We start from the raw sequence: 11,766 nt of genomic DNA, 5'->3' as shown, positions 1-11,766 counted from the left end.
ACTGTGCAAAATGAAACAACCATTTTTTCCATTGATAATACGTAAAGGACAGATTCAGTCCTAGTATATGCAATTGGCCAGAATCTGCCCTGCACAGCAGCTATTCTTCTTCTTCTTCTTCTTTTTTTTCTTTGAGATGGAGTCTCAGCCTAGGCTGTAGTGCAGTGGCACAGTCTCGGCACACTGCAACCTCTGCCTCCCAGTTCAAGTGATTCTCCTGTCTCAGCCTCCCAAGTAGCTGGGACTACAGGCATGTACCATCATGCCTGGCTAGTTTTTGTACTTCTAGTAGAGACAGGGTTTCACCATCTTGGCCAGGTTGATCTTGAACTCCTGACCTCAAGTGATTCATCATCCTCAGCCTCCCAAATTGCTGGGATTACAGGCATGAGGCACCATGCCTGGCCTTTATTTTTATTTATTTACTTTTTTTTGAGACTGCATCTTGCTCTGTTGCCGGGCTGGAGTACTATGGCGTGACCTCAGCTCACTGCAACCTCTGCCTCTGGGGTTCACACCATTCTCCTGCCTCAGCCTCCTGAGTAGCTGGGACTATAGGTGCCCACCACCACACCCAGCTAATTTTTATATTTTTAATAGAGACGGGGTTTCACTATGTTGGCCAGGATGGTATCAATCTCTTGACCTCGTGATCCGCCTGCTTTGGCCTCCCTAAGTGCTGGGATTACAGGCATGAGCCACCGCGCCCGGCTGCCTGGCCTCTTTTTATGAGCTTTCTTCTCATTTCCAGTATAGCCAGCTACTCCTAATTACCACCTTTGAAAAGCGGTTAATTCGCTGTAAAAAATAAATAAATAATAACCAACAACACCAAAACAACAAACACAACTACACAAAACACCTGTGTTTACTTTGCTTATAGCATAATCTTCAGATATTTTAGCATGATATTCAAGGCACTTCATAACGTGGCACCAACTTTGTTTTCTTGCCTTATTTCCTGCTGCTCACATCAGCCCTGCACTGCTCTAGGCATATTGAAATATGTGTATGCCTCTTGCTGTTTCATATTTGTGTTTTGATCTAGCCCCGTTTCCTACCTGGCAAAATTGTCCTAGTGTTTTCAGGCTCAGCTCTCATGACAACTTTTTAAGGAAATTGTATAAATTCCCCTAGTTGTAACAGCTAACATCTCCCTATGTGTTTTCTGAACACTTCTTAATAGTAAGAGCTTCCATTATGCATCAGGGACTGGGTTTGATACTGTTGAAAGAAAAACTTCAGCCAAATTAAATTTAAGGGAGTTTAATTGAGCAATGAATGATTCACGAATAGGGTAGCCCCCAGAATCACAACAGATTCAGAGAGACTCCAGGGATGCCTCGTGGTCTGAACAAACTTACAGGCAAAAAAGGGGAAATGACGTGTAGAAATAGGCAGTGAGGTACAGAAACAGCTGGATTGGTTATAGCTTGGCGTTTGTCTTATTTGAACACAGTTTGAACACTCAGCAGTGTATGAGTGGTTGAAGTATGGCTGCTGAGATTGGCCAAGACTCAACTATTATTACAGGAGCATACTCCTAAGTTAGGTTTCCAATCTTGTCTACCTATTAAGTTAGGATATGGTTTGTCCACAAGGTCTCAAATATAGAAGTATGGAGTCCTTCTCAGGTCATATTTAGTTCTCTTTAACAAGACCAGTATCACTAATCCCCAAGGCTACTCTACCAAGTAGATATGATTACACCTTTTTATCAAATATGATAACTGTCCAAGTTTACTTAGCCAGTAAGTGGATGGGCCAGGATTTTACCTCGACCTGTCGTCTCTATGTCACTAGTCTAGTGTATGTGTCTTGCTCCCCAACTATATTGTGCATTTGAGGACAACAATCATACCCTATTAGTTTCGTTTTCCCTACCCTGGCACCAAAAAAAAATCACCTATATTATAGTTAAAACTGCTTGTGGAACTTCACTGAAGTAATTTCAATTAGGCTCCTTAACAGGAAGCATAACATCACGTTATGAACTGAACTTCATCCCCACAAAATTCCTTAGCTGAAGTCCTAGCCCTTAGTACCTCAGAATGTGACTGCATTTGGAGATAGGCCCTTTCCAGAGTTAAGTGAGGTAAAGTGAGGTCATATAAGTGGGCCATAACCCAATATGTCTGGTGTCCTTCTATGAAGAGGAGATTGGGAGATAGACATGCACAGAGGGACAACCATGTGAACACACGAGAGAAAGATGTTCATCTACAAGTCAAGGAGAGAGGCCTCAGAAGAAATCAACCATGCCAACACCTTGACCTTGGAATTCTTGCTCTAGAATTTTGAGGAAATCAGTTTCTGTTGTGTAAGCCACTCGTTCTGGTGCTTTGCTATGACAGCCCCTAACAACTCATCCAGCTGCTCTGGCCTTTTCCCCCTAACATGTGCCCTCTCTGAGTCACTGTTCTGCTTTGAATTCCTTCTTCTGGTTCTGTAAATCGTTTCATTCCTGACTTTTTTTTTTTTTTAACCAACCATTCTCCCACTCCTCCCATCACTTTATCTTTCTTTAGAATTGGTATCTTCCTGTATTTTACCCACATATGTGATTTCTCTTTACAGCTTTGCTTTCTTATCAGTCCTGTTTTAGCCTTGCTTACCTGTTTCTGCCTGTGGCTTTTATTTTAGATTATTGTCTGACTACTATTGCCAGATTTAGTAAACAAAAATTAGTTCTTATTTATCTGAAATTCACATTTAACAAGGTGTGCTGTATTTTATCTGGCTGCCCTCTATCTAACCCTTTGCCTGTCCCCATAGTCATCAGTGTCTTTGTTGTGGTATAATTAATTTTTAAAAAAAGAAAATATTTTACTTGCAGTTTTAAAAAATTAGTATCAGGATTTAGAGCAAGGTATTCAGTTCAAATTCTGTCATCTCTGCTGACTTTCCAAGTAGCATGGAGCAATTAACTCATTGTATCATGTAAAGTCTTTCTTCATCTGGAAACGATTAGTGAGTTCCTTATCAGACCTAGCTGAGAAAGGAAAGACTTAATCCCATTCTATTTACAATCTTCAGCTACATAACAATGTGTCAGTCAACATGAACTGCATATACAAGGATTGTTTCATAAGATTGTAGTACCATATTTTTACTGTACCATTTCTATGTTAAGATATGTTTAGAAACACAAAAATATTTACTCTTGTGTTACAATTGCCTACAGTATTTGGTACAGTAACATGCTGAACATGCTGTACAGGCCTTGTAGCCTATAAGCAACAGGCTATGTATACTATATAACCTAGGTGAGTAGTAGGCTCTACCATCTAAGTTTTTGTAAGCATACTCTATGATGTTTGTTCACACAATGACAAAATCGCCTAATGACTCATTTCTCAGAATGTATCCCTGTCATTAAGGGACCCATGACTATGTCTGTCCACCCAGTTCCTCTAAATTGTTGGGCTCTTGGCTATGTTTCAAATTCTTCATCATGCTCCTTCCACCCAGAACTGAGGCAATGTCAAAATGCTAGTTTGTTTCATTTGCCATCTTTATAGCCCTCTCTCTCCCCACCCCCAATTCCAAGGAGTGTTTTTCCATTCATTCCTTTGCTATGAGCTGTTGGAAACATACCCACAAACCATTTACAAATCCCTCCTCATAACTCTGTTCCCCACCCCAGTATTGGCATCTTCTACAAACAATTCTTTTGGAAAAAGAGGCTCGATTGTTTACCAATTTCATAAAGCTATCCTGTAAATAAACCAGTTTAAGTTTTGCTTGTGATTTGCTTTTTATTCAAAGAGCTGAATCAATGGTATGTTTTGTGACTCTGCTTAAGGGAGACACAGTTAAGAAGTTTAATGGAGACAGCATGGGCCATACAGCCGTTGCCCAGCTCCATAGATGTCGATTAACTCCCCAACGTTCCCTTTTAGACAGATGTTCCCTAGGAAACTTGCCAAAACACATGCATGTTCTGTTAGCAGTGAAGAAGTTAAATAGAAAGCCACTTCCTCCCTTCCCTGAATGCATGCTTGAAAATCAGAAACTGTAATTAAATGCATATGTGGCATTTTTCACAATATGTTAGGTTGGTGGTTCTAATTATTATCATACGTACCATATTTGATCTGGTAGAACATGTGAAAATGTTTATATACTTTTACATTATGGTTTAACAACACTTATAAACATTTAGGTACAAAAGGATTATAAATTTTGTTAAAGGCATTGAATTACTGTCAAAAAGAGAGAAACTTTAGCAATTATCCCTGTATTTTTTGCAAACCTTTTGTCACAGAACAAACTGTTTCAGAAAGTAAAACTGTAGGAGAACACAAATTGAGGAAATGAGACAGAAATGTGTCAAATAAACAGAATATATTTTGTAGGAGCAGTCTTTTAGGGCTCTGCAATGATCAGAGAATTTAGGGACCAGGCCTGATTCTGAGCTCATCTGTCTCTTGCTTTACTCACGAAAGGGGAAGAAACAGAATAGAGGGGGTGGGAATTGACCAATGTCACAGAGCAGACTTCTGCCCATGAATGATCAAGAACCTACTATGTTTCAGGCACTATGATACATGAATTCTAATCTTTACAACAAACTGGCTCTCACATTACAAATGAGGAAACCAGTTTAAAAGTTTTAAGTAGCTTTGCCATTGTTGCTTAGCTGATTAAAGGCAGAACCTGGAGTGACAGCCAAATGCAGGTCTGAGAGTAAAAGCTCCTCCTTCTGCATGAGGGTAGGCTTAGTCTGAGATTCCCCTCCAAAGTGTTTGCATAAAGGGTCTTTTTTCCCCCTCCAAAGTGTTAGCATAAAGGGTCTCAATTGTTATGTCTGTGACTTGTGCTAACTTTGTATTGCTCATAGAAAGACGGCAAGTGGTATGCAAACTAGTGTTCGAGCAAATTTGCATCATCAATCCAGAAAATGTCAAAGCTAGAAAGGCCTTTGAAGGGCATCTGGTCTATTCCCTTCATTTTAAAGAGAGCTGAGGTCAATGAGCTGTGTGACTTGGGATGAGCAGCACTGTGCCAGGGTGTTTTGGAAACACTACCCTCTGGCATCATCATATCTCTGCTTCTAGCAGAGAGGAGTTAACAGATATAGGGTACTGTTGTGACTTCTATGGGAATGATCTGGGGAGGTAGCCCCATAACTACTGCACACATAGAGAAATACCTCCCTGGATGTTTAAGCATGTAGATAACCCAGCCAATTTGGGCAGTTTTTTCTATTTTTTTTTTCTTCTTAATGTACAACATCAGTTAATCAAACACAAACTGCTCCAGCTAATGCTGGCTATTTCCTACCTAATTGACAGGTCTGGAGTGCTTACCATAAGGAGTCTCTTCAATCCCCAGTTGTGGTAGCAGATGAGTTTTGTGGTTAGAAGGAAGTTAAGATGCCCTGAAGTCTAGACACAGAGACTCATCTTTAAAGGTGAAATAAGGAGCTGTGGAGAGGGACAGTTATAAAAGCACAGTTCAGGAGTCTGCTGGACTAATAATGACTTGAAGCGACTGCCTTAGTGCTCCCTTCTGACTCAGATTATTAGAGGTAACCACTGTGATTCACAGAGAAATGGGATTAGAGATCAGCCTCCTTCCTTGCTTCCTTCCTTCCTTCTTTCCATCCATCCATCCCCCTTCCTTCCTTCCTTCTTCCTGTTCTTCTAATGCATTTTGAAGTTTGGTGAGACCATAGGAGCCACTTTCATTCGTTTCTAACTGTGAAGCAGATCACAATTACCCATTATAACTGCAAAGTAGCTTTAAAAATCACATTTTAGAGAGTGTTTTAACACCATATGGTTGAGTACTGACAGGATACAGCACAAAGGCAACAGAAAGTGTTTAGTGACAGAAGCATTTTCATGAAATCCACCTTTTCCTTCTCTGGCTTCCCATTTCCAAGGCTGTTTTGGACAGGGATTAATGTGACCTCTCAGGACAGGACAACATTGCTACTAATCTCACAAAGAATGAGGCACGTGTGCTGAAGAGGCCGTGGGGTGACATCCAGACAGCCTGCTCTTTACGTTGTTCACACGCGGAGTGTTCCCTAGTCCATCTCTTTAGTTTAGCCACTCCCCAGGCTCTCACTCTCCATGGTCTTATTTCTTTTATTCTTTCCCCATTAAAGTGCATCCATGGGGGAAAAAGCTAATTAAAAACAGGATATGAGAAACTACTTCAGAAGATGATTCACTACATTCCCAAAGGCACCCAAATTTGGGTCCATCATAGTAGATTTAAGTATTTATTGAGAACCAACTAAGTTTAAGTGCTTACTAAGAGCTGTGCAAAATAAAAAAGTATCACACAAAATACAAAAGTAACTGTAAGGAAGAGGATGGATGTTGATTGGAGTGGTAGGTTGTGGGAATGTGTTGACAAGGATGCTCATAGGAATCTGGCTCACTAGGAAACCATACTGTGCTGCTGACTGGAGATCTTTCCACGGACTCACGTCAATGTCACAGAAGCCTCACAGCAGCCCTGCAGAGGAGAAAGTCATTTTCTCCAATTTACAGACTGGTAAACTGAGGATCAGAAAAATCAGATAATTTTTCAAAAGACGCATAGCCAGAAAGGTAGACCCAGGTTATCTGACTCCCAAGTCATATTTTATAATTTAATTTTTAAATGTGTGTACCACACATCTGAACTTCTGGCCAAGACACTGAGTTGAGTACAGTTGTTTATCCTATAGTGCAAGAGTACTAGAAAGTAGATAGAGGAGACCCAGGAATATGTGACTGGCATCCCTTAAATCAGAGAGGAAAGGGCTAGAGGCAAGAGCAGACCAAACACCACACAATGGAAAAACATGAATTCCACAATGCAACAGGACACCTGCTGGACAAACAGCTTCTGGGCAGGGTGCCCTTGGGCACCTTAGCAGTGGCCATAATGAACCTGCAATGCTACCTTGGAGGAGAGGCAAAGTTACCTATAATGATGGCCCAGTGCTCTGAGGCAAACTTCCTTTCCACTACGCCCAGACTCAGAATACCAAAGCCAGTCAAATAAAATTATGGTAAATCTAGTGTTTTTTTCCCCTTTTTCACTTGAAAATAAAAGAACTGGACAGAGACCCACATCAATCTCAACTCCAAACTTATTTTAGGTCAATCTTGAGTAAACATAGACTGCCCTATGCAAGGATGAGCAAGAAGAAACCAGCACGCTTTTGAAACTATATCACAGTTCTAAAGAAAGGGACAAGCCTGAGATGATTACAAACATCTTCCTTTGAAATAGATTTATTGCAAGGACAAGGATTTCTTTTCTTAAATTCTAACTTGGGTTCTCATATACCCACAAGAGAATAGTAAATCAAATAAAATGCAGTATTAAATCAGAAAGAGAAAATAATCTTGGTTAAGAAAATTTGTGCAATGTGAAAGACATGATTTTGTAATTAAAACTTAAAGTGTTTTCTTTCCATGGCATACTGGATATAAGAGAAAAGGATTTAAAAAAAAAAAAAAAGCAGAGGACAGATTTAATCTCTTAATATATTGATAAGAAAATGGTAAAGAGATATTTTGGATTAAAGATGAGAGGGTAGGAGATGAGATCCAGTGGAATACACAGAATATGTATTTAGCATTTACATTTCTGTGTGTAGGTACCCAATATTTCAGACATCCAAGAGGATCAGAAAATATAATATTTAAGTTATTCTTGAAAGTTGTTCCTGAAAACAACTATTTGAATATAAGCTCTAACCTTTTTATCAAGGTTAATACATAAAATAAATCACAAATCAAAATAAAAATTTGAGAATTAGGGACTATGGGTATAAAAGATCTGAGATGAGCAGTGCGATCAATTAAAAAGAGTCTGTGTAATTTCCACTGTGGCTGTAAGACAATGTAAATGTGAAAATGGTCTTTGAAGACTATATTTATAATACAAATTTGTAGCAATAGCAGTGAAGTAAAATATAATTTATACATGTTACATATGCAGATATGTGTTTTTTGATGTGTATGTAGTTATATGCTAAAAATTTGCATCAGGTAGACCTGGGTTTGGATCCTGGCTTTGCCACTAAGTAAGTTTCCTATGATCTTGCCTGCATACACCCAGACACCTACACATACATTTAACACACTTACAATAGGACAATCCAACAAAATGCTAAAAGTATTTATCTCTAATCAACAGGAATTATGTGAAAATTTTATTTCTTTATTTTTATCACTTCAATAATCAGAAAAATGTTATTAAATACAAGAAAAGTGATATTAAAAATTTAAACTATAATTCTAACTAAGGAACTTCTTTTCTGAAAATCAAATCTGCATAATTAGGAACCTGGGTTGAATTTTAGTTGAACTTGTATTGGTAAGCTTAATAACAACAGATGCCATTCTGTGTTGAGATAAGACTTGGAATTTCAACATCTTATCATTAGGATTACTGGCACTGCTGAATGGGCTGTTAGTTATTGACATCGTGGTCAGCTGGCCTGGGTCTGTCTCCTGCTCCATCCTCACTCAATCATACTATGTTACCCAGAGTGAGCTATGTAACCTCTCTGGACCTCACTTTTCTAACCTGTAAACTTTGAATAATTGGGGTGCTTATATTGCAGGTTGACTGTAAGAACGAAGTCAGATAATGGCTGGTGAGGAAGCTGAAGGTTAAGGAAGCAGAATCAGTCTTCAGAGGGAGAGCTCACCGACTCCAGAGCCCGGCCCTGCTGCTTTTGTTTCTCCCTAGCCCTGGAACCCAGTCATGAGGCTGAGCCCCCTGCCAATTTTTTGAGAGCTTGTTTGGAGGTTCTAGCAGGGGAGTGCAGCTACTCGTATACCCTTGACAGAACACCGGTCCTCCTCTATCAGGATGGTCGTCCTCTTCGACCAAGTGTGCAGCTTCAGGAGGGAGACACATGGAGCAGTGAGGTAGGAAGGGGACACTCGCCTAGTCAGCCGGATCAGATGAATCAACCCTGGCAATCAATGGGGTGACACATGTTGCAGCCAGATCGCCCTCACATCCAGCCGCCTGCCAATTTTTAACTTCATCTTCCTACTTAGACTGAGTTGTGTGTGACTAGTGTTTTAGTACTAACACCAGTATTCTTTCATTTATTGACAAATTATTTACTTGGTGTTTTTTGAAACTATGCATTTGTTGTTACCATATTCTGACCACCTGAAGTTTCTATATGATACAATATCTGTGTATTATGAATACAGTAGCAAAAAACAAATGTGATTTTCATTTTAACTCTGAAAAACCTATTACACAAACATCACAGCCAAGGGTGGTGTATACTTATGGCCTCTCAAGCTCATTTAAAATTCTTATGACAGCACTAAATACTCTCTGTGTAGTTACATGGATCTGTAGAGAAATGGAAGGCAGGTCAGAACTGCTGTGCCTAGAGACTTCAGAATTTGTTTTGCAGTGGTTATATTGAGAATAATCACTTTTCTCATTCTGCACTTGGCTGCTTTGTTTTGGTTTTTTTTTTGTTTGTTTGTTTTGTTTGTTTTTTCTGTCCCTCTTGACCAAGTAGAAGAAAGTCTGAATACTAATGGTTGGTCAATTCCAAGCTATCATTTTGAGGTAATTAATTTGGACAGAAAGCGTAAACCTAGCACTTGTGGGGCTAATTTGAGGTTCAGTTAATTCACCAGATGAATTATTTCATTTTTAAGTAGCTACTTTTCCAAAGACCTATTAATAAGATAGGTGTTTAACCTCTAGATCCACATTTGACTCAATCCTGGGATAGCACCAAGTTTCCTGAATATACCAATAGAATATTTTGGTGTCATTTTTTAAATTTAACGATCATGAGGTCAATTGTTTAATTAATTTTACCTTTTTTTTAGGTTAAAAAAAAACCTATCAGGAACTACCAAGTTAGAATAGAAGAGGACATTTTCAATTATTCTCACATCAAAAACTAGAAAATGCTGTGATTGTTCTTGCCTATGGAGCAATGATGAAACACATAACCTACATTCCAAAAGCATACATTTTATATCAGGGAGCTATATGACCAGTTCCCAAAAAGTACTCCCTCCGAGAAGTATGCAACCCTTAAAATGTTGTTCACAAAATGTTTGCAGCATTATATGAATACTCTTGAAAAACTGAAATTTGCAATCAGCAACTACAAATGTTTCAAGGACATCCTCACAAGGAGAACACCATATTTTCCAACCTGAAACAGCTGTGCAACTACTTGAGGCTGAGTTCCTTGAGGCCCTTTTTGTACTATGAAGTATCACCCAGATGTTGCTACCTGGAAGGCCTTCAGTGACTTGCATACTTTGTCTAACATAATAGGAGAATGACCCAGCTCCTTAGTTCAGAGCTGCAGCACAAATGTACCAGATAATGCAATCATGCAGCATGGTAGCCAGTCACTGGTCTCTGCTTTCACCTTGGTAAGAAATAGAATCATGTTGTCTGACTAAGGATTGGACTCTTGTGCTCCATTTACTTTTGTCATGCTCCACTACCATACGGTTAGTCAAATGGACAGAAGTTAACCTAAACCTCTCCATTCTCCAGAAACACTTAATTCTGTTTCATCTGATTTAATATCAGCACATATGTGCCTTACAAATCTTTGTTAAAGACCACTAACCTTAATGTTCTGAAAAGGGCACTGCTGAATCTGATAAACTTAAAACATGGAAAGATGAAAACCAAGAATTTTCACAAGATTTCTTTCTTTAAATATGGTTTATTAGTGAAGACTGCCAAATGAAGAATGTATCAAAGGTAATGTTACTACAAAGAAGGGAAGTACTCTTCTTCTCCAAACATATGCTTTGCAGCTGAGCCCTGCTCTCAGCTTTGAATCTTGTTTCATGTGGCAGTCTGACTCTCTTCTTTGGCCCGAAGTCCAAGCATCTCTGACCATACCCTCCCTATCTTTCCAGCCTATAGATTCAGATAAAGAAATATTAAACTAAACACACTAAAGTAATTAGCATGAGATTGAGTCTCCATGCAATACAGTGCTCAAATAACATGCTTATCCAAGGAAAAGGTAAAGCAAGTCATTTTTGCTATTTGGAAAAGCATTTGGGGATGTGTGTGTGTGTGTGTGTGTGTGTGTGTGTGTGTGTGTGTGTGTGTGTGTTTTCTTGTCATAAATATTCCTTCCTCATTACTTTGAAAAGTGAGTGAAGTGAGAAAGAAAATAGAAAGAATGAAAGAAGATGGAGAACTTTTGCAAATTGGCAGAATAAAATATGAAGATTCAAAAATGGCATTGACGGATACAGAAAGGAATGTCACAGTACAAGGAAGAGTGGTTAGTGTTTTTAACAGAATTCAATTGAAATAGATGTTACTGTTTCTAGAGGATGAAAAGGTTAAGGTTAGCTTCTATATGTTCTGCTAACCATAGGTCAGTGGTTTATGTCTAAAATAATTGCTGTAGTGTTTCCTCCCCTCAGAATGAGAAAAATATGGAGAAAAAGGAGCACATTTGCAGGCTTGCTCTTTCATGAGGTTTTATGATTCCTCAGCAAGACTAGCCCTGTTCTTCATGACAACGAATCCTATTTTTGCAAGTTGCTTCTCAATGTTCAGAATACTACTCCATTTTATGGAGGAGACGGACTTTTGCATTCTGAACATTCTCTTTATGAAACCCAAGTTTTCTTAGGCTTTGTTATCCTGTGGGTGACAAATGAGATCATACAAACACTTGTGCTGAAATTCCATTAAGCCACGATCCCCATCTGCTTCAACAGAACTTCAGCCCTTCCAGCTCCTCCCTGCTCCACTGTACCTCCATTTGTTCAT

General features: G+C 39.1%; 1 pseudogene, besides 1 other annotated feature; it reads right to left on the bottom strand.

Annotated features, from left to right (window-relative positions):
- Nucleotides 2,760-6,909: an enhancer, noted in NCBI's record as "VISTA enhancer hs1601". NCBI's record gives its function as "enhancer in: nose[7/9]" and the evidence as "EXISTENCE:transgenic organism evidence [ECO:0001131][PMID:17130149]".
- Nucleotides 8,751-8,988, bottom strand: RN7SKP231 (RN7SK pseudogene 231; annotated as a pseudogene).

The sequence above is a fragment of the Homo sapiens genome, chromosome 8, assembly GCF_000001405.40.
Source record: "Homo sapiens chromosome 8, GRCh38.p14 Primary Assembly".
NCBI classification, from domain to species: Eukaryota; Metazoa; Chordata; class Mammalia; order Primates; family Hominidae; genus Homo; species Homo sapiens.
Note: the sequence above shows the minus strand (reverse complement) of the source record. Positions and strands in the feature narration are given on the sequence as shown.